Genomic DNA, 22,993 nt, shown 5'->3' on the forward strand with positions numbered 1-22,993 from the left:
TCTTCTTTCACCATATGTGAACACAGCTGGAAGGTGCCATTTATGAACCAGAAAGTGGGCTCTCGCCAGACAATGAATCTGCTAGCCCCCTGACCTTATACTTCCCAGCCTCCAGAACTGTGAGAAATAAATTTCAGTTGTTTATAAGCTACCCAGTTTATGGTATTTTGCTCTAGCAGCCCAAACAGACTAAAACAGAAGATTGGTACCAGGAGTGGGGTGCTGCTGTAATAAATACCTAAAAATGTGGTAGCAGTCTGGGCACGGCGTCTCACACCTATAATCCCAGCACTTTTGGAGGCCAAGGAGGGCAGATTGCTTGAGCTCAGGAGTTCAAGACCACCCTGGGCAGCATGGCAAAAGCCTGTCTCTCCAAAAAAAAAAAAAAAAAAAAAGAAAGCCAAAATAGCCAGGTGTTGTGGCATGCACCTGTAGTCCCAGCTACTCAGGAGGCTGAGATGGGAGGATCACTGGAGCCAGAGAGGTTGAGGCTGCAGTGAGCCACGTTTGTGCCACTGCACTCCAGCCTGGGAGACAGAGCAAGACCCTGTTTCAAAAAAAAAAAAAAATGGTAGCAGCTTTGGGTAATTGGTAGAGGCTGGAAGAGTTTTGAAGTACATTCTAGCAAAAGCCTACATTGTAGTGAATGGACCATTAAGGGTGATTCTGGTGAGGACCAACTACTAATCTATAGAGACAGAGAGCTGCATGTGGCGCCTGCCACGGTAAATTTTGGAAGGGATGCTCAGACCATCATCTCATCGCCTAGACAACTCAGAAAGTAGCAACAATGATGACAGGTAAGAGTGCCAGACAGTCTCATGTGCCAGAAATCAGTGTGGGTCCAGGACACCCTGGAAAGTTTATGTGCACTTATAGTCAAGCCCACCGAGGACTGTTCTAAGACAAGTCATTCCATTCCAGCCCATGAGCATGGATGTCCATAGGTGCTAGGCATAGTAAGTGTGAAAAAGAAAATTAATTCTCTCTCTTTGAGGCTTATCAAGCCACTTACTCACCCGTACTAGATGCCTGGGGCTCACTCTTGATTATTCCCTCATTTCTCATGCCCCATTGCAAAACCACCACGTCCAGCTGTGTGTGTTCTATAAGCTCATCCCTCCCTCTCATGTCTGCAGCTAGTTTAGGCTTTCATCCTCATCACCTCCCTGGACTCCTGCAGCAGTTGCCTGTCTGGCTTCTCTGTTTCTAATCTCAACTTCCTTCAATAATTTCTTCACGCTAGCCAGAAGGAGCTTTCTAAAACACAAATCTGGTGATGTCATTCCCTTGCTTAAAAGCCTTCAAGGGCTCTCCCTGCAGAATAGAAATCCAACTTTTGTTTTGTTTTTAACATGGCTTAAAAGGCCCTCCAAGACCTGTTCTCAACACAAAAGCCAGAGCAATTCTTTTAAAGCAGAAGTCAGATCGTGCGGACTTTTTGTTTTAAACACTCCCTGGGCTCTCCATCTTGCTCAGAGTCAAAGCCAAAGTCTTTACAATGGCTGACGGGCCCTGCTTGTTCTGGCTGCTCTTCTCACTCTGACGTCATCTATTGCTGCCCTCTCCTGCTGTCTCTCTCCAGCCACGTCCCCTACACCCCTTGTAATCCTGGGAGTGCCCAGGTATGTTCCCAACCTAGGGCTGCTGTTCCCTCCTCAAGAGCCACTCTCACCCTAGATAACCACATGGATTTCTTCCTTATCTCAGATGTCTCCTTCCCAAGGAAGTCTTCCCTGACCATCCTATTTAAAATTAGAAACACTTTTCCTTAGCACTTTTTAGAAAAGTATTTCCTGCTCTTTATTTTTCTGCATTAACACTCATCTGACATGAGTTTTACTCATTTATTTTGCTTGTTGTTGGTCTCCCCAGCTAAAATGTAAGTTCCACGAGGCAGAGATTTCTGTTCATTTCACTTGCTGCTAATCCCCAACTCTTAGAACAGTGCCAAGTACATAGAAAGGCATAAATGCGTATTTGTAGAATGAATGGACCTTGCCTGTACCTCCAGCCTCATCTTCAGCCATCTCTTCCCTCTGTAGTCCAGTAACACCTCAGTGTCTGCCCCCCAACCCCACCCAGCTGTTCCTCACCCTCCTGCCTCTGCTCTCTTGTCCTGGATTTCTCTGCCCTTCCCCCACTCTTCCTTTGGCCACTTCTGTTTATCTTTAAAGACCCAGGTTAGACTTAACTGCTTCTAAAAAACTTATGTGATTCCCCTATGCTGGATTCAATGTTCATTTACTGCTCTCCCATTTTATCCTCTATTGACTCACAGTTAAAGAGTATGCTGTAAGTATCGATGCATGTCCCTCTTCTTCAGCAGACTGAGGGCTCCTTGAGGGGCAGGGGCAATTATGTTTTTTAACCCTTTACATCTCAGTTCCTGACATAGTGCTTGGTACCTAGCAGGTGTTTAATTGTGTTGTTGTTGAATGGTTACATGACGTAGTTCTGATACAAGGAAGTTACAGAGTACAACACTTGGAGAATACTACATCAGGACAGCCTCAAAGCTAAATGGTGTCCAGCAGTGGACCCAGCACACACTCGAGCTGAGAGTGGGGTGAGGAGGACTAAAGGCAGGAAGGGGGTCCTGGAAAATGCATGACTTAAGCTGAGACTTAAAGAATGGATATTTAGAGGAATGCAGAGGAAAAGGGAGGTGACTGGTCTTTGAAGAAAAGATATGAAGCTAGCCAAGAGCCAGCCAGGAAATGTTGACAACCACACAGTCCCCAGAGGAGTCCGTAGTGGCACTCTGTATGCCACAGCAATCACAGCCCATATACACAGTGCGTGGGCTGGCCCACAAGCAGCTCTCTCCATTTCCCCCCCGGCCTTTGCCTTAATCAGAGGGAAGCCCACTGGAGCCTGGACCGTTTAGGTGGCCATTCTCTCTGGAGTGTTGAGTTGCTTTGCCTTCCTTTCCTGATCTCTGCTGGAACCCAGTGCCTGGGCACCTGCTCACCTGCCTTTCACTATTACTGTTGTTGGCAGGTTAATGACCTAGTGACTTCTTTGCCTGTCACCTTAGACTTGGGGACAGTGAAAATCTACCAGAGTGGCATATCTACTGCCGTGGAAACAGATTTTGGGCTCTTAGTGACTTTTGATGGCCAGCACTACGCCTCCATTTCCGTCCCAGGCTCCTATATAAACTCCACCTGTGGACTCTGTGGAAACTATAATAAAAACCCACTGGATGACTTCCTCCGCCCGGATGGCAGGCCGGCCATGTCTGTCCTGGATCTGGGAGAGAGCTGGCGTGTGTACCACGCAGACTGGAAGTGCGACTCCGGCTGCGTCGACAACTGCACCCAGTGCGACGCTGCCACTGAAGCCCTCTACTTTGGCTCTGACTACTGCGGCTTCCTCAACAAGACAGACGGCCCTCTGTGGGAGTGTGGCACTGTCGTGGACCCCACTGCTTTTGTGCACAGCTGCGTGTATGACCTGTGCAGTGTGAGGGACAATGGCACGCTCCTCTGCCAAGCCATCCAGGCCTATGCTCTTGTGTGCCAAGCCCTTGGCATTCCAATTGGAGACTGGCGAACCCAGACTGGGTGTGGTAAGCTGGCATCCCATCCCCATGACAGGTCTCTCTTGTGCAGGGGGCAGGGATAGGCTTTGGGGGCTCCTCCAAATGTCCTTGTTAAGACTTGTGACCCAAGAATGAGGGGGAGGTTGAAATTGCACAAATTACAAAGAACGAATTGTGAAAGGATCTTTACTTTTGCCCCCACCTAATACCACAACCAGGAAACAAGAACCCATTGATGAACATACATGGTCTGGAAACATGAAAGGCATGGCAGGAAGTCCCACAGCAGGGGACGGCAGCTCCAGAGTTGAGTGAGGAGGTGGGTTGTCCAGAGGTGGAGGTGGCTACTTTTGTGGCTGTTGAGTTAATGCAGCTGTGGGCCTGGGTCATCAAAACTAGCCCTTGGGAAAATAGGTCACCTTCCACATGGAACCTGTAGCAATTGTTCCTGGCACTTTCTTCTCCACTGTCAGACCCTTAAGGGTTTGTGCCCTGCTGCTGCTGCAGATGAGGAGTACAGCATATGAGTAAAGAAGCCCTTTTTCTTAAATATTAGGAGTGGTTAGGAAAAGCCCCAACTTTGAGGGAAATCCTGGCTCTTTTGAATTACACTTTTGGATTAAGCATTTTGTACCATTTAATTGTCTTAGTACTTTTTCCCTGTATCCCACTTAAAATTTATTTCTTTTTCTAGTTATACACAGTTTAAAAACAAATAGATTTCGTTTCCTTCCTAGTCCTTGGTTTTCTCCATATGAGTAAATAGAAAATTGTAATCCATGCATTTGAGAGTGCTAGGGAGGTGAGAAGATTTAAAAGTTTCTTTAAGTTCCAAGGCTAGAGGGAGAATTCTTCCCATCAGTATAAGTTGGAGTCACATAAACCATAATGTATCAGGTTCAATTCTTAAGAGTTTTGGTCAAACTACAATACAAGCAACTGTATTCTTGCTGTGTGACTGACCAGCCTCTCTTATGACCAGAGCATCCATATTTGGATTCAAGTTGAGATTGAATATGGCTTCTCTTTGATCCTTACAAGAGCATCCAAATTACCTGACTAAAATGTTACAATGGCCACAGATATATATTTTCTAGTGGCACTACTTTCCCATCCTCTACATTTCGCTTTCTTTTCTGGCTCAATGGACTCTGTTTAATTCAGAGAGCTAGTTTGCTAGGCCCCTGAGCCCCTGCTTGTTGGATTCAACCAGACTCAAACATTTATGTAGACCCAGATGTTATTAAAGCAAGAACCGAAGATTTCTAAGGCAAGAAGGGCCTTTAGAAGACATCTTACCTTGTCTCCTGGAGAAACAGCCACACAAATTCTTTGAATTCTTTGGAGGTAGCCAGGGCGCTTTCTTATTTTTAATATCCCAGGGAATTCATCCCCACAGCCTTCCTTGGTCACACTTAGGTATTTTAAGTGCCTCCCTGTTACAAATTTCACGTTTTCAAATTACTCCTCTAATGGTTACATTTTTCATTTCTCCTGAAAATTGGATTTATTTCCTTCTAAGAATGGACCATGCTCTTTAAAATCAGATCAATTTATATGTCCATCAGTGGAAGGTCTTAAAATATCTCGGTAGTGTGGATCATCAAATAATAAACCTATATTGGGTAATCAGTAGTCTAGAAAGGATGGCATCCTGAAAGTTTAATTTTAGTCAAGATGATCAAATTCCAATAGAAGTTCACAGTCCAATCATGCTGCTCAGTAGTTATTAGGAGAGTCATTGAGCTGGGTTTTACAGATACAACCTCAATTCTGTCTTCCCCGAGTGGCCGCTTGACCCTCACTCTAGGAACTAAATGATCCAGGAGGAGCGTTAAGATTCTGGCGGGTTAGCACTCCGGGTCCATTCACCTTGTTATCGGCTCTCTTCCTTTCCCCGCGTCAGTGTCCACAGTGCAGTGCCCGAGCTTCAGCCACTACTCCGTGTGCACAAGCAGCTGCCCCGACACATGCTCCGACCTGACGGCCTCGCGGAACTGCGCCACGCCGTGCACAGAGGGCTGCGAGTGCAACCAGGGCTTCGTCCTCAGCACCAGCCAGTGCGTCCCTCTGCACAAGTGCGGCTGCGACTTCGACGGCCACTACTACACCATGGGGGAGTTCTTCTGGGCCACGGCCAACTGCACTGTGCAATGCCTGTGCGAGGAGGGCGGGGACGTCTACTGCTTCAACAAGACCTGCGGCAGCGGGGAGGTGTGCGCCGTGGAGGACGGCTACCAGGGCTGCTTCCCCAAGCGGGAGACCGTGTGCCTGCTCAGCCAGAACCAGGTGCTGCACACCTTTGACGGCGCCTCCTACGCCTTCCCCTCCGAGTTCTCCTACACCCTCCTGAAGACCTGCCCTGAGCGCCCAGAGTACTTGGAAATCGACATCAACAAGAAGAAGCCCGATGCAGGACCTGCTTGGCTGCGGGGACTTCGGATCCTGGTGGCCGACCAGGAGGTCAAGATAGGAGGCATCGGGGCTTCGGAAGTCAAGGTAAGGCTCCTTGCTCCTTTGGAGGGGTTCCTGGTACGTCCAGCCAGGAGGAGGAGCTCGCCATCCTCTTCAGGTTTGCCTTTCTGCCTCTGCCTATGAGTGGATTTTAGAAAGAAGATGGCTCCAAACGGGAGCGTTTTCTAATGATCTGCACCAAATAAGAATTATCAGGTGGAGAAATGGCATGCAGCTGGGATTTCTCCAATTAGATAGAGCAGGACTAGCTCTCCGGAATAGCAAATACTTACAGAACACTTACTATGTGCCAAGCACTATTCTAAGCCCCTTATAAGCAGTATCACACTTCATCTTATGATCCTCATTTTACAGATGAGAAAGCTGAGGAGCAGAGAGGCTAAGTAACTTCCACAGGGACACCTAACCGTGAAGGGAGATTCACACCTGCCTGGCTGGCTCCAGAATCTGCGCTCTTAACCCTTGCACCCTACTAACTCCCCTACCTATACATGCCAGTCTATGTGGGGTGATGTAAGGGGTGACTCCCACCCCTCTGACTTGCTCTGAAAAACCCATCATTAGGCACCCAGACTTATAGATCCTTAGCTCTAGAAGGAATATTGAGAATTATCTAGTGCAACTCCTCATTTCACATGAAGACACTTACTAAAAGGGTAAGTGAAGGTCCCACAGCTAATTGTTGCAGAACGGGGATGCAACATGCATTTTATGTCACCTGAAGTCTAGTTTGGAAAACAAAAGCCAACACAGTACTGCCCAAGGAGATAATAAAATACGCATCCACAAACTGGAAGGGATGTGTTTTTATTCTCATTGCCACATTGGCAGAGATTTATTTATTAATAGACTAGTAGGAAGTAGATAGAAGAATGGACAGCTAGATCATTAGAGATATGCTATGTGCCCTCGAGGAGCTGGGACACAGAAAAAGTAAGACTGGAAGAGAAAAGCAGCCAGAAAGGCAGGGAAGGAGGGGAGCTATTTTGAAAGGTACCAAAACAGAGATGCCAGGCGGCAGGAGGGAGCCACGTATCTAAGACGATTTTTGCTCACACTTTAGTTTCGTTTGTTTTGGGCTAGCTTTGGGTCCAGAACACACAAATAAACAGCAAATGGGTCTAATCAGGGGAATCCAAAAAGAAATAAATAAAGAAGCCCATGACAAATCGGTTGGTATCTTTGTGGGTTCCATCAGCTTCTTGACCTCTCTCAAAAGGCTAGCAATAGGGCAGACCGTGTCTTTATCCCACAGCCTAGGAAATGGAAAGTGCTCTGTGTGTCTCTGGAATTGATAAGAATGACTTGATTTTTCAGTTGAATGGTCAGGAAGTGGAATTGCCTTTTTTCCATCCTTCGGGGAAGCTGGAAATTTATCGAAACAAAAACAGTACGACAGTGGAGTCCAAGGGCGTGGTGACTGTCCAGTACTCAGACATAGGTCTATTGTACATCCGGCTGTCCACCACATACTTCAATTGCACAGGGGGCTTGTGCGGCTTCTACAATGCCAACGCCAGTGACGAGTTCTGTCTCCCCAACGGCAAGTGCACGGACAACCTGGCAGTGTTCCTGGAAAGCTGGACAACTTTCGAGGAGATCTGCAATGGAGAGTGTGGGGACCTGCTGAAGGCCTGCAACAATGACTCGGAGCTGCTCAAGTTTTATCGAAGCCGCTCCAGGTGCGGCATCATCAACGACCCCTCCAACAGCTCCTTCCTGGAGTGCCATGGGGTGGTGAACGTCACTGCCTATTACCGCACCTGCCTTTTCCGCCTGTGCCAGAGTGGGGGCAATGAGTCAGAGCTCTGTGACTCTGTGGCCCGGTATGCAAGCGCCTGCAAGAATGCGGACGTGGAGGTGGGGCCCTGGCGGACCTATGACTTCTGCCGTAAGTTGGGGTTGGATTCTGGGAGAGGCTTTCTAGCTGGGAAATAGGTGCCATGCTGGGCCTTACTCAGGACTTCCCTTCCAGGTGGGACTGAGCTCAAGGGTGATGTTAATTACTGTGTATACCTACCCTAGTCTGATGTGTCCTCCCAAAGACTCATCACCCCAAACCGGAGAGCCTCTCATCTTTACTTTTTTTCCTAACTGCACAGTACCTCCTCACTGCAGAACAATTAACCATCCTATTTGCATGTGGTTTTATCTAGCAGAGGGTAGAGGCACCATGTCAAAGGACTAGAAATCTTTGTGATGGCTCTGTAGGTGCCTTCTCCCTTGGCAAAGAAGAGCCCCATTGATTTTGATAGGAAGTGATCGGCCAGGGCACCTTTGGGGCATGGAGATTAGCATGCTCCCCAGGGCAAACCTGACAATGGGTATTAAGAGAGTCCTGTGTTGCTGGCTTTTAATTTTGTCCCGAAAGTATCTGACCCCTCTCAGCAATGCAGTGGCAAGTACTAGTAGTAATTAGAAAACTTTCTGGGAAGACCTGATACGTAACACCCTTGATTATCAGGGAAGCCACAGGGAGAAGTAACATGGCAGAAAGCAGGACTCACTCGTGGAGCAAGAACTGCCTCATCTGGCCTTCAGCACACAACCCTCTCCCACCACAAAGGTGGGCCCCACACCAAAGCCAAGGCCACCATTAAGATTCCATCCCCGGCCGGGCATGGTGGCTCACGCCTGGAATCCCAGCACTTTGGGAGGCAAAGGCAGGTGGATCACGAGGTCAGGAGATCGAGACCATCCTGGCTAACATGGGGAAACCCTGTCTCTACTAAAAATACAAAAAATTAGCCGGGCGTGGTGGCGGGGGCCTGTGGTCCCAACTATTTGGAAGGCTGAGGCAGGAGAATCGCTTGTACCTGGGCTGCGGAGCTTGCAGTGAGCCCAGATCACGCCACTGCACTCCAGCCTGGGCGACAGAGCAAGACTCCATCTCAAAAAAAAAAAAAAAAAAAAAAGGATTCATCCCTGACGGCTATTTATCTGTCCTCCGTTTTTAATTGGCAAAAGTATTTTTTAATTTGAAATAATTTTAGACTTACAGAAAAGTTGCAGGAATAAGACAGTCTACCATTCTCTCAGATTCCCGAATCGTTAACATTGTAACACATTTTCTTTCTAATTTTGTCTCTGAAAATATACTCACTCTTTTTCTAAACCACTTGAGAGTAAGTTGCTGTCATTATGCCTGTTTGTACCTAAATATTTCAGTGTGTTTCCTAAGAATAAGCACATTTATATGACCATAACATAATCATTAAAATCAGGATATTGCCATTGATACAATACTATTATGTAATCTGAAGACCATGTTCATATTTTGTTAGTGGTTCCAATAATGTCTTTTACAGCCAAAACAAAAAACAAACCCTGGAATCCAATCCAGGATCACATGTTGCATCTTATTATGATGTCTCTGTAGACGCCTTTAATCTGGAGTAGGTCCTCAGTCTTTGACTTTCATTGTCTTAGCGTTCTTGAAGAGTACAGGCCAGTTATTTTGCAGACTGTTTCTCAGTTTGAGTTGGCTTATATTTCTTCCTGGTTCCATTGAAATTATGCATTTTTGGCAGGAATACCACAAAAGCAATGATGCGTCTTCTCAATGTGTCATATCTGGAGGCCTCTGATGTTGGTTTGTCCCGTTACACTGAGCATGATAGATTCGATCGCTTGCTTAAGGTAGTGTCTGTCAGATTTCTCCATTGAAAGTTACTGTTTTTTAATCATATAATTAATACATATTTTTCAGGGAAATACTTTAAATTTAGGTAGCTATTCTATTCCTTGAACTTGCATACACTAGATTTAGTATCCAGTGATGATTTTTGTCTGAATCATTTATTACTGTTTGTGAAATGGCAATTTTTTTCTAATTCAATGGCTCCTGCATTCATTAGTTGGCATTCTACTGTAAAGAGATGTCCTTTTCACCCATTTGTTTCTTTTTATTTGTTTAGATGACTCATGGATTCCTACTTAACCGATTGTATCTGTTATCATAATTTGTTTTATGCTCAAATTGTTCCATATACGGCCAGTGGGAGTCCCCTCCAGCAATGGTTTCTGTTGACATTTGCTTCATCATTCGTTGCTTTCCACGAGGCACGATGTACTCCGGGCTCATCTTGTACTTTCTCTGCTCTAGCCTTGGATTAGCCATTTCTCCAAGGATCTCTGGTTCCTTCGAGTGGAGCGTAGTGTTGAGGAGATAGGATCTGGGTGTCAGGTGTGCCCGTTCTTCCTAGAGTGTCATTGATTCTAGCATTCCTTAGTGGAGAGAGTGAGGAAGTGCATGTATGTGCCTATACACACCCTCCATACACATTTTTATGTAGCTAGGTGTGTTACTCTCTCTTTTTATCTGTTTCTGTCTCTATCTCACCATGAGTTCATACTGAACCTACAGTTTCAGTCCAATACCGCAGAGTTTTCTAGTTTTCCTTTTTTAATTTTTTTTGAGATGGAGTCTCACTCTCTCACCCAGGCTGGAGTGCAGTGGCATGACCTCAGCTCACTGCAACCTCTGCCCCCACCAGGTTCAAGCAATTCTTCTACCTCAGCCTCCCGAGTAACTGAGATTACAGGTGCCTGCCACTGCACCTGGCTAATTTTTTTTGTGTGTGTGTGTTTTTAGTAGAGACGGGGGTTTCACCATCTTGGCCAGGCTGGTCTTGAACTCCTGACCTCGTGATCCACCCACCTTGGTGTCCTAAGGTGCTGGGATTACAGGCGTGAGCCACCACGCCCGGCCAGTTTTCCATTTTTTAGTTTCTTTTATCTGAGAGTGAGAAACCTGGCCCATTGTATTTCCTCCTGTTTGCTTATTTTCTTAGCTTCTTATTTTGAAATAATTTCAAAACTACATAAGAGAACACCTGTAAACTCATTGCCCAGATTAACCTATTAATAACATTTGTTCATTTGTTTTATCATTCCCTCCCTTTCCCTGTCTCTTCCTTCCTCCCTCCCTGCCCTTCATGTGAGAGTGAGTTGCAGACTTCATGCCTCATTACCCGTAAAACTTCAGTATGTATTTCCTTAGAGTAGGGGCATTTATATACATAACCACAGTACAGTTTTCAACCTTAGGAAATTTAACATTGATATAGTAATTTAACATCCATATTCCAATTTTGTCAGTTGACTGAGCAATGTTCTTTACGGTTCTTTTGGGGTGCCAGGATGGGGAACTCAGTACAGACCTAATTTAGAATCACACGTTGCATTTCATTGTCGTGTCTCTTTAGTCTCCTTTAATCTGGAACAATGACTTAGTTTTCTTTGTCTTTTCTGATATGGGCATTTTTGAAGAACACAGCCTCCCTGCCTTTTGAAACAGAATGATCCTCCATAAACAGAATGACCCTCCATTGGGGTTGATGTTCCATCCTGAGGATCTTCAGCTGTGCATCTCCACTCAGCCTCCCGGGCAGGTGCCATGTGGTTTTTCTCATGGAATCACAGCACACACGGAAGCACGATCTTGTCCAGCCTCCCCTCATTGGTGATGTGCATGTTGATTCCCTGGTCAAGGTGTTAGCAAATGTCTCTGCTGCAGAGTCACTGTGAGCTTTCCCTTGCAACTAATAAGCAACCCATGGGGAAATACTTTAAGAGTGTGCAAATATCCTGTCTGTCAGTCTATCTGTCTGTCTATCGGTCATCTTATCAATCTGGACATGGATGCCTGTTTTTTCCAGTGGTCTATATTTCATCTATATTTCATCTTCCATGTATTAATTATTTTTGGTGTTAAAATTGCTCTGGATTGGCCTGTAGGATCTCCTTCAAGCTGGCTCCTGTGTCCCTTCAGCATGCCTCTGTCATTTTTTTTGAGCACTTTCTTCCTTTTGGCATAACAGGGTGCTTCGCGCTCATCTTTTAATCTTCCCTGCCCCATGCTGGAATCAGCTTGACTCCAAGAAGCCCTGGTGAGTGGGGAATGTTATTAGAAACCAAGATGTAAGGGAGGTGTCCCTGTTGCTGTTGGGGCATCTTTGCTTTGCCTCTAGGTCCTTTCAACAGACGGAGCTGAAAACCAACACCACACACACACACACACACACACGCACACACTTCTTTTTAACTCTATGATTCCTGACCTTGGGAAATCCAAGGAGCATGTGGAGAGCTTAGTGGTTGTCATCTCAGAAGGGCAGTTGTGTCCCTGGTGAGCCCCCGGGGAGGGACTAATAGCAGATGCTGGGACTCCAGAGCTACCTACAGCAGGAGAGCCTCCACGGCTTCTGTCGGCCACCACATCCGGTGGGACCTTATCATACTTTCCCAAAGTCTTTTTTTTTTTCATCCACCTCCCTATATCCTCTTTTGTCCTATCTCCAGCTTATCCAACACGATCTCTGTTTCTGCTCCCACATTGAGCCTCCCAGTTGTATTTCATTCATGCTACAGGATTGCCGAGTCTCCCCTATACCAAATCTGTTCTGTTGCCAGGCCATTTCAGTGCCGTCCTTTTAGACTGCTAACTCCTACCTGGCAGGGGATGTTTGAGTTATTTTTGTGCTGCATGGAGCACAGTTTGGTAGCGTCGTGTGTGCCAAGTTAGCAGGGCGTGATGGTGATATTCCCTGTTTCCCTGCATGTGACAGCTACTGAGAAAAGCTTCTCACTATCCCTCATCTGGGCCAGCAGACCTGGAGGAAGCTCTTATCAGTGTCTTTTTTAGGGAAGATGTGGGCAGAAGCAGTCACATGGAACATGGCTTTCTTGGGCTGAGGGCCAGGGCTCCTACTTGAGATGTCCCCCAGGATGTCTTATCTAGATCTTGTGCACATGGTTCTGGCGAGTAGCACTGGATAGCACGCACTTGATTCGTCAGGCCGCCGAGCACTAAGGGATTAATCTGGTCGGAGTCTTGCATGGTGGGGATCAAACTGGATGACAGCTGTGAATCAGGAACACAATCTTCTTTGAACCTAGAGAGACAACTGCTGCCTCTGTGTTCAGATATTTTTAACTGGCCCTCCTGTTGGCAGAGCCAGGCTGCCCAATTAAATAATTTCACACAGGCATTCCGGGGCCTAGGGGAAGTTCTATTACTCCACGTCTGTGTGTTCCAGACTTTCAGACAAATTCAGACAACACAATAAGTCATAAAGTGAGAGCCATTTAAATAAGTCATGTTATTTGCTATCACCATAAATCTGCAGTCAGTGTTAGAACATTCATAATTTAAAGACAAATGTGAAAATCCCTCTACACAGACATATATAATCAGTGCTGAACTAGCCTTCAACTCCAAAGCCGTGTGGTATTGTAGTCAATGGGAGTGGAGATAGTCCTTTAGCGCAGAGGAAAAAATGATTGGCTTTCAGTCCACAGTGCAGAACTGTTGTATCGGTACTTGTGGGCAGAACTATTATTGCCATGCAATTTATTTCTCTGTAATGTCCTCCGTGTCCTTGGATTGTAAAACAGTATTAAGGAGTGATGGTATGTATACGAGCCAAAGAAAGTTTTAAAGGCGAGATCTTATTTTCCCAGAAGATGGTGGGGACTTCGCTGATCTTTAGATCGCACAGACTTGTAGGAGGCTTCTTCTGTGCTCCTGAGTTCTGTCCCTGCCTCTGGCAAATTGTGACCCATTAAAGTAATAGTGAGAAATAGGAAGTATGCCTACCACTACATGGTGAGTATCCCGTGGTATTATCATTTTATGTGCTTTTTTTTTTTCTCCAGACGGAGTCTCGCTCTGTCACCCAGGCTGGAGTACAGTGGCGCAATCTCTGCTCACTGCAACTGCCACCTCCCAGGTTCGAGCGATTCTAGAGCCTCAGCCTCCCGAGTAGCTTAGATTACAGGTGTGTACCACCACGCCTGGCTAATTTTTTTTGTATTTTTAGTAGAGATGGGGTTTCACCATGTTGGCCAGGCTGTCTTGAACTCCTGACCTCAGGTGATCCACCCGCCTCAGCCTCCCAAAGTGCTGGGATTTACAAGTGTGTGCTGTGCTTTTTGACCAAGAGTCTTGATCTTTCAAGGAAGGCTTCTGGGAAGATGGGCAATTTGAAGTGAGACTTGAAGGATGGGTGGGACTTGGCTTTGTGGGTGGGGGGCTGTCCAGGAAGGGGAAAGCGCATGAGCAAAGGGGCTGCGGGGTGATGACCTCCTTTGCAGAGAATGATGAGGAGGTGGACGAGGCCAGAGGGCACCAGGAACAGAGAAATGAAAGACAAAGGGAGAGTCTACAAGCCAATTTGCAGAGTAAAAATACCTACATATAGCCTGTCTGTGTAATAGAAGGAGGTACAAAGAGGAGCAAGGCATACCATTGATGGAGACCCTCTTGATAGATTAGATTATTAACCCTCAAAACAACCGTGCTAGCTAAATGTGGTTCATACTTAATGAAAGAGGAAACAGAAGCTCTGAAGACATGAAATAACATCCCAAAGTTAAGTTAGCAGCATCCACAGGTCTCTGTGGTCCCAAAACATACAATGCTCCCTCTCCAGAGTCTTTGAGTCAGTGGACCCAGATTAAATCTCACTCTGGCACTTACTAGTTAGATTTATTTAAATCATTGAACTTCAGTTTCCTCACCTGTAAGATAAGAATGATAAGATTTACCTTACTTTCCAGGTTGTTGAGATAAGGTACACAAAAGTGCCTAGGACAGTGCCTGGCATGTCGCAGGTGCTCAATTCTGGGTCTTAGACTCAAAACCTTCTATGTGGAAAGCTAGGTGCCCTAGCAGAGTGTGTGAATGAAGGGGTGCCACTGGGACTTGGATCTCCCAAATGAGGATGACTACAGCTCACTGTACTGTGCAAATAAGACCACACACATATACAGAGGCACACACATGCAATCACACACATGGATACTCACATGCACACACACGTGCACATGCACACTCGCATGCACAGATGTGTGCACACACAGGCACTCATACGTACACACACGCACTCGCACACATGCATGCACACACATGCACTCGCACACACGCACGTGCACACACACATGCATGCACAAATGCATGCATACACAAATGCATGCATGCACACACGCACATGCACTCACAAACACACATGCACTCATACACACATGCATGCACGCACACTTCTGTCTCTGACTTTTGTCCTTTTCTCAAACCCGTCTTCTCCTTGACCACCTGCAGCACTGGAGTGCCCAGAGAACAGCCACTTTGAGGAGTGCATCACATGTACAGAGACCTGTGAGACCCTTACCCTGGGCCCCATCTGCGTGGATAGCTGCTCTGAGGGATGTCAGTGTGATGAGGGCTATGCTCTACTGGGCAGCCAGTGTGTCACGCGGAGTGAGTGTGGCTGCAACTTTGAGGGGCACCAACTTGCCACCAATGAGACCTTCTGGGTGGACCTGGACTGCCAGATCTTCTGCTATTGCAGTGGCACAGACAACAGGGTCCACTGCGAGACCATTCCCTGCAAGGATGATGAGTACTGCATGGAGGAAGGTGGCCTGTACTACTGCCAAGCCCGCACCGACGCCTCCTGCATCGTCTCAGGCTACGGCCACTACCTCACCTTTGATGGCTTCCCCTTTGACTTCCAGACCAGCTGCCCACTCATCCTGTGCACCACAGGAAGCAGGCCAAGCTCAGACTCTTTCCCCAAGTTTGTTGTCACAGCCAAGAATGAGGACCGGGACCCGTCACTGGCCTTGTGGGTTAAGCAGGTGGACGTGACCGTGTTTGGCTACAGCATCGTGATCCACCGAGCTTACAAGCACACTGTGCTGGTGAGTAGTCATGAGGTCCCCTCAAAAGGGGAATCGTGGAGACGTCAGGATGGGGTCGGCAAGCCAGGCTGCAGCTGAATCAGGCAGGTCCGGAATCCAAAGAAAATCTTAGTATATTAAAGCAGAGAGAGGCCCTAGAGATTTTCTGTCACTTCATCTTACAGAGAAGGAAACAGAGGCTCAGAGAAAAAAATGATTTGCCCAAGTCACATACACCAAGTTAGGAGGCAGAGCCAGCTCTGGAAGCAGTGCCTTTCGTATGGCAGCAGAGCATGCTGGAGAGAGCACAGACCGAGGTTAGCATCCCTGCTTGGTGGCTGCTGTGTGACCTCAGGCAGTCACTTAACCTCCTAGCTTGGCCACTCCATCTGTAAAAGAAATGCCTACCTTGCACAGACTAGGCCTCCCTAACTGATGCTATTGTCCTTGTCCACCCACTTCCCTTTTTTGAGATCAGGGTGATATTCACCTTTTCTGGCCTCCCTCCGTCTCTCCTGGTCCCTTTTGGCTCCCAAGGGATCTGTGAGTTCATGAGTCTCACACGCATTTGGAGGACTCGGGGCTCTCCTACAATCCCTTTACTCACTTGGGCTTCAACTCCCTCTTTCTAAGCTTCCCACCCTTTTCACCCAAAGAGCACTTCCTTGGCCATGAAGACAGGAGCAGCAGGGCTGAGGCTGAGGAGCTCTGTGCACTCCTCGTCTGGCCTGCAGACATCAGCTCCAGCCACAGGCCCAGCTATTCTTTCTCCAGGGTCCTGCTCTGCACATGACTTGAAATGCTAACAATCAAGCCAGCAGCCTCTGCTTTAGCATTTTAGGGAGCTGATTTAGGGTGCTTGCCTTCTTGACATTATTATCACAGGTCTGTGTCATAATTTTTCTATCTCTAAAGGGACTCCTTTTCATCTTGTATACATTCTCTTAAAAATTCTGAGCTATACTGAACTAAACTATCTAAACCTAACTAAAGAGTTCCCTGGGCAACTATACTGACTTCTTTTCCTGCCTCGGGATTTCCTCAACTTTCTTCTCTGACAAAGAGAGATTCCCAAGCCTCTTGAATTATCTTTCATGTTTATTGGAAGTCTGCCTTTTTATCATCCAAGGAAGCAATTTCACTGTGTCGTCCTCTTCCCTTGCTTGCACACCACAAACCTAAATCCCAGTTGTTTTCCTCTCTGCTCCTCCTAACAGTTTATTCCAGTAGCCATTATTACATTCATCAGGCTGTATTTTTCGTGATCTTCATGTCTAAAGTGTTCTCACTTCTAATCATGGGCTTCTTAAGGGCAGGAACCATACATACCTAATTCATCTTTATGTTGAATGAATGGGCAGCCCCCTGCACCTAGTGACACTGGAAACACTGGTCAAATGAATGAGTGAGGCTGAGCACGGTGGCTCATGTCTGTAATCCCAGCATTTTGGGAGGCCAAGGCAGGTGGATCACAAGGTCAAGAGTTCAAGACCAGCCTGGCCAAGATGGTGAAAGCCCGTCTCTATTAAAAATATAAAAATTAGCCAGCTGTGGTGGCAGACACCTGTAATCCCAGCTACTAGGGAGGCTGAGACAGAGAATTGCTTGAACCCAGGAGGCGGAGATTGCAGTGAGGCAAGATTGCGCCATTGCACTCCAGCCTGGACGACAGAGCAAGACTCTGTCTCAAAAAAAAAAAAATAATGAATGAAATGATACAAATAACCGCTTTCTTCCAGGGTTCCCATGATTTTGTCACAGTACTGCTTCAACGATCTGAGAGGTTATATTGCCACTGAGGCAAGTTAGGAGTGTGTCAGAGGCTTGGCTTTTAGCCACATAAGATTTCTAGATGTTTGGATAGTCAAAGCTACCCATTACAACAACTTCCCTCTATCCATTTTCATCTTAATGTTAAAACAAATATATCGATCGTTTTGCCCACGTTGCTCGCATCATATTTGTCCTTTACTCTTTGTTTCCTTATGTGATATATTTCCACCCTTAGATTTAGGTGTTTTCATGCAGTTACTTATCTCCTTGACATTCGGTGCTCTTTGGCCTTTCTGCCTTTCACGTTTTTCTTTTCTTTTAAAATGTAATCTCTTCATGGGTCCTGTCTCATCTAGTTTATGATGAATTGTGTTTTCTGCCTTGTGTTACACACTCTCTGCATTTAGGTACCGCAACATCTGAGGCTACGCATGTTGGTTTCAGACATCCTCCCAGTTCTTTTCATGTATAGACTGTGGGGTCCTCGTGAGCACCTACTCTTCTTTCATGCTACCCTTCCCTCTCCTTCACAATAACCGACTCCCCACTGTCTCTAGGCATTTCCTTCCCTTTCCCTCTACTTTAGGGTTAAGCCCCCAGTGGGTTAGCTCTCCCTCCAGGCATGTGCTCTGCCCCAATCTCACGAGATGCACTTATTGCTGAAGTCCCAAGCCTGGAGAACCACACAGCTGACTTCTTCCTCACAGAGAGGTGGAGAGGGGAGGTGTGAATTAGTTTATTAAGGGCTGCCATAATGAAATACCACAGACTGGGCGGCCTAAAACCACAGAAACTCGTTCTCTCACAGTTCTGGAGGGTGTAAGTCCAAAGTCAAGGTGGCAGCAGGTTCACACTCCCCGTGAGGTCCTCGGGAAGCACCACCCCCTGCCTCTCTCCTAGCTTCTGGCGGCTGTGGGCAATCCTCAATGTTCGTCACCTTGTGGCAGCATAAACTCCAGTCTCTGCCTCCGCCTTTACATGGCCTCTTTCCCTCTGTGTCTTCTGTTTTCTCTGTGTCCAAATCTCCTTCTCCTTTTAAGTACACCGTTCATTGGAGTTAGCCCCACCTAATCCAGTGTGACCTCATCTTAACTTGATTACATCTACAAAGCCCCTATTTCCAAGTAAGTGCATTCACAGGTACTGGGGGTTAAGGCCTCAACATTTCTTTTGGGGGGACACAGTGTAACCCACAATAGGGGGTCATTGGAGACAATGAGCATCAAGGAGAAATGGATTAAAGAGGTGAGGGGACTCCTTGCTAGGGCACTTCTTTCTAAGCAAGTTGGAAACAGAGTATACAGCTTTCAAACTCTTGACAAGAAGACCAAGCTCAGGGTGCATTGAGGGTTCTTTTCTTCTGAGGTATGGAGGCTAGATTTAACAGTTACTTCGGATTATTAAAATGCATTGCAGGATCTGCTTATTCAATGATTTGCATTTGTTTTCCCATGATGTTATTATTAGTCACCATCTCTCCCTGAGCCTGAAGAATAATGGCCATCAGGATGACAGTGTGAAATGAAGTGCTGGGTAAAACACAGCCCACAGTGCAGGTCACTGCTGTGGCCCTTAGAAATGGAGGGTGATATGAAAGTGCTTCCTTGGGACACAGGGTCCTTCTATGACTCTGACCTTTCCCTGCATTGAGCAGCACCACAGGACATGGGAAAATCCACTAAGCCAAGAGAAGCTAGAAATAAATGTGCTATCTATAGACCAGACAGGGTAGGGGGGTGAGCTGCAGAAGGTGAGCCACTCCTGGGGGCACCGCCATAGCCCATCTCAGCCATCCACAGCCAGGGCTCAACAGAGACTGCCTCTCTCCTGCCCCCACCCTCAGGCTTCATCGCAGCCAAGTCTGACATGGTTCAGGCCAACAGGGAGGTTTTCAGGGCTCTAATAGCCTGTGTCTTTATCACTTATTGCCAGTCAGGTGGCCATCAGAGAAGAGTAGGGTTTTGGGCATCACTCTGGCTTGGTTTAGTATCATGAGCTTGTATTGATGTCTGTTCTCTACCAAGTCCTCGGGGTAGAAAAATGAATCAAACATGGCCTCTGTCCTAAGAGAGCTTAGAGTCTAGCGCAAGAGACAGACATTGGCAGTTAATGTCCATGTAACATGAAGTGCTGCAAAAATGTTGCTCATGGAGGGTGTGAGAGCACAGAGGAGGGGTTACCTAAATCAGCCAGGAGAACCTTAGGGAGAGCTTCCTGGAAGAGGAGACCCAGAGCTGAGGCCTGGAGGATTACACTTGCCAGGCCAGGAATGAGGTGAGGGTGTCTAGGAAAAGGAAATATTGGTGCAGACTCAAGGTGGGTAGTAAAGTGAGGGATGCAAGGAGACTTTGCTGCAGAAGACCTTGCTGGAGAACTAGGTCAAGGTCTGTTGTTTAAAGGAAAACTCTCTCCAAAAACTCTAATATGTGGTCTTATTTCCAATACTTAAATATTTGAAATACACTTTCCCCCACTCCTCCCATACCTTCTCATCGTCTTCTGCGACTTCCTCCTCCATCCATCAAGCCTGTTGCCATTCTAGCCTCTCTCTTTTCCTCTGACCTCCTGCCTCTGAGCTCCCTCTTTTCCTCCATTTCTCACTCACAGAGAGAGAGGCAGGGCAGTGGTGCCAGGGTGGAGGCAGCATGCGTGGGGTTTCTGAGACACAGAGAAGCCGAGCCTGTCTGAGTAGAGGGTGTTCCTGTCTCAGGGCTCTCCTTGGCAATGGCAGAATTTGCAAGCCTTTTAGCTTCATCCAATTATATTGCCTCCTCAAGGCATTGCCTCCTGAGTGACATCAGGTAGCCAGGGATATAGAATGCAAGGTAACTTAGGAAGAAAAGCCAGCTGGCACCGATCGGCCTCTGAGTGCAAGGCTTTTACTTTATTCGCTGTGAGCTTTCAGGACAGATCAGAGTCTCCATGGCCTGATCTCACTCCTCCTCTCACCCTCCATGCACCCTGTCACTTAAATGACTGTCACTGCACCTCTCCACCTCCTCCCTTCCAGGTGCCGAGAGTGAGGCATCTCTTCTCCTCCCGTGGCCGCTCTTCCTGTGCCACCTCTTTGTTGCCTTCCCTGGAATCTTGGCCCTCTGTCATCTCCTCTCCCTTCTGTGTCTTTCTACAGGGTCCTTCTCTTCAACTCATAAACATTCTCATTCTCAAACAAGCCTTGCCCCCAATTCCCTACTAGCTTCAATCCAATCTCTCTCCTCCCCTTTCTGGTCAGACTCCTTAAGAGCATCATCTCTGCTTCTGAATCTCCTGTTTGTTACTTTATTTGCTATTTGCTTCTGCAACCCAAATTCTGGCCTCATCTTCCTACTTAAATTCTCTTAGTAAGATTGCTGATGTTTTTGTTTTACAAAACGAATGGGTGTTTTGCAGGGTTTATCTCTTGGGCCTCTTTGCCATGTGTGTATGGGATACAAGGCCCTTCATGATCCAGGCCCTCCCCACCTGTGCATTTTCATCTCCCACCACTCCCAAGCCACACTCTATGCCCCAGCAGCACTAAATTGCTGTAATTATTCATATTTATCAGGATATTTTTCCCTTATCTACCTGGGGCTTTGCTGGGGCTGAGCCCTTTACTTTGAATTCCCTTGTCTTCACTCCCACTCCTTCTTGACTAGCCAACCCCTCCTCCTCCTTTGAGACCAGGTGTGGGCATTGTCTTCTGCAGGCAGCCCTGATCTTGTGCCCAGGCTGAGGCTGGTGCCTGTGCATCTGTTTACCTCTATCTTTGCTTTTATCACATGATATTGTTATCTGTCTGTGTACTTGCCTCTGCCATGTGCCTGGGAACTCCTAGGGAAAGGCCGTATGTGCTTTATTCCAGCCTTTAGCACAGTGCCTGGCACTCAGTGGTGCCAAATCAATGTCTACTGGATGAATGTATGAATTCTGCCTCAACAAATACTCACAGAAGAGCAGATAGTTGAGTTTTGAAGGGTGAACATTGCCCCAGGACAAAGGTGGGGTCAAGGGCATCCCTGTTGTCTTAGGTCAGGTTCCCTAGAGCCTGGGAAAGTGAGGATAGCACCAGGGCAAGAGATCTCAGCAGGGCTGTGGTCCAAGGTGCAGACCAGCTTTAGCCTGGGCTACTGGGAGCCCTGGCACTTGACTCCCAGTGTCAGCCAGTCATTGGCCAAGGACTACCCTTGAATTAGGGGGTCAGAATCTTCTGGGCAAAGTGGTTCCCATGGGGCCAAGGCCAGCTGTGAGTTATCATTAGCCCATAGACGCAGGGCCTGGGGTTAGGGGCCCTGGGTGGAGCATGGAAAGCATCCTTCACACTCACGGCACAGGAAATGGCAGGGTGGAATGTCACAGCTTGGTTCATTTAGGGAACTGCAAACTGTTCGGTGTTGCTGGTGTGCAGGAAGCCAATGGGGTGGATCTGAGAGGCAGGGCCAGCTCCTAGAGAGCCCAGGGTGATGTGCTAAGCATATCAGACACTTTACTCAAGCCCTGGAGAGGGCTTTCAGTATTGGATTAACTGCTTTCAATTGCATTAAGATTATTGGCGTGGCGGTAGTGACTGAATGGAGGGACAATCCTGGGGCCAGGGGGACAAGTTAGGAGAGTACACTACAGTCAAGGTGAAAGGTGATAAGAGTCTGAACCAAGGGAGGAGCAGTGGCGTGGAAAGGGTTGTCAGCTAAGAGAGAGAGGAAGGAGGTTGGGGGAAGGGATTTCTGGTCAGAGAACAATCTTAAAACACCTACTTCTCCCACAAGGCAAACCACCTCACCTGTGAGCCGTTGCTGCAGTGAGCAAGCTGGCTGTCTCTATCTTCCATCATGCACTAACCCAGCCACAGGCTATAGGATTTGGCTCCTCTGAATCAAAATAGTTCAAGGGCAGTGCAGTCCTGGAGTTTACTGTTAAGGGATTTCCCTCTTGTCTGAATTTAAAAATATGTGGGAGGAAACATATGTCAAGTGCCCCCTCCATGGGAGACATCGTGCTGGGTGCCTGGGGGGTAATGAGGGGAAGGTGGGCATAAAGATCAATAAAATGTGGTTCCTGCCCTCAAGTTGCCCATAATCTTGTAGGTGAGATGGAAGAGCGTACACCCAGCCGTAACATAAGGCAGACTGTGATGTGTGCTGCAATACAGTGTATGCAGGCTTGATCCTGGCCAGCGGTAGAGAGGAATACAAGAGAAGTATAAATAACCTGCCCTGGTTACCCAGACAAGGGAGTAATTAATTCTGACCACGGGCTCAGAAAATCTTGACTTACAGAAGAGGTGACATTGGAGCAGGGTCTGGAGGATGAGAGGGATGTTGATGGGTGGAGAGTGGCATTTCAGACAGAGGGAACAGCAAAGTGAAGCCATCCTTCAAGAAAAAAGAAATCTCGAAGGAATTAGTACACTGGGGCTTGCCTAAAATAAATTCCATGGTAGAGCTAGAAATAGAAACACAAGAGTTCTATGTTTTGGTAGTTCAGTCTAAACTTTAATTGAATTCTTATTACCTTTACATTACCTTGGAGAAAACAATT

General features: G+C 47.0%; 2 protein-coding genes across 2 annotated transcripts in view, besides 2 other annotated features; both read left to right on the top strand.

Annotated features, from left to right (window-relative positions):
* The window catches only part of TBCEL-TECTA (TBCEL-TECTA readthrough), a 167,389-nt gene that overhangs the window by 98,197 nt on the left and 46,199 nt on the right, over window positions 1-22,993 (top strand). The window contains exons 14-17 of the mRNA NM_001378761.1: window positions 3,004-3,574; window positions 5,454-6,046; window positions 7,340-7,913; window positions 15,123-15,724. Coding sequence (NP_001365690.1) covers window positions 3,004-3,574; window positions 5,454-6,046; window positions 7,340-7,913; window positions 15,123-15,724 — 2,340 coding nt within the window. The remainder of the gene's footprint in view (window positions 1-3,003; window positions 3,575-5,453; window positions 6,047-7,339; window positions 7,914-15,122; window positions 15,725-22,993) is intronic.
* Window positions 1-22,993, top strand: part of TECTA (tectorin alpha) — a 90,248-nt gene that overhangs the window by 21,056 nt on the left and 46,199 nt on the right. Inside the window, exons 8-11 of the mRNA NM_005422.4 lie at window positions 3,004-3,574; window positions 5,454-6,046; window positions 7,340-7,913; window positions 15,123-15,724. Of these exons, the coding sequence (NP_005413.2) occupies window positions 3,004-3,574; window positions 5,454-6,046; window positions 7,340-7,913; window positions 15,123-15,724 (2,340 nt within the window). The remainder of the gene's footprint in view (window positions 1-3,003; window positions 3,575-5,453; window positions 6,047-7,339; window positions 7,914-15,122; window positions 15,725-22,993) is intronic.
* Window positions 7,147-8,346: an enhancer, noted in NCBI's record as "P300/CBP strongly-dependent group 1 enhancer chr11:121000154-121001353 (GRCh37/hg19 assembly coordinates)". NCBI's record gives its function as "activates an origin of replication core promoter dependent on BRD2, BRD4, P300/CBP, MED14 and CDK7 cofactors, with strong dependence on P300/CBP, by STARR-seq in HCT116 cells {active_cell/tissue: HCT116}" and the evidence as "EXISTENCE:reporter gene assay evidence [ECO:0000049][PMID:35650434]".
* Window positions 7,728-8,228: an enhancer, noted in NCBI's record as "H3K4me1 hESC enhancer chr11:121000735-121001235 (GRCh37/hg19 assembly coordinates)". NCBI's record gives its function as "activates a minimal SCP1, AML or CMV promoter by ChIP-STARR-seq in primed H9 embryonic stem cells {active_cell/tissue: H9 hESC(primed)}" and the evidence as "EXISTENCE:reporter gene assay evidence [ECO:0000049][PMID:30033119]".

The sequence above is a fragment of the Homo sapiens genome, chromosome 11 (assembly GCF_000001405.40).
Source record: "Homo sapiens chromosome 11, GRCh38.p14 Primary Assembly".
NCBI classification, from domain to species: Eukaryota; Metazoa; Chordata; class Mammalia; order Primates; family Hominidae; genus Homo; species Homo sapiens.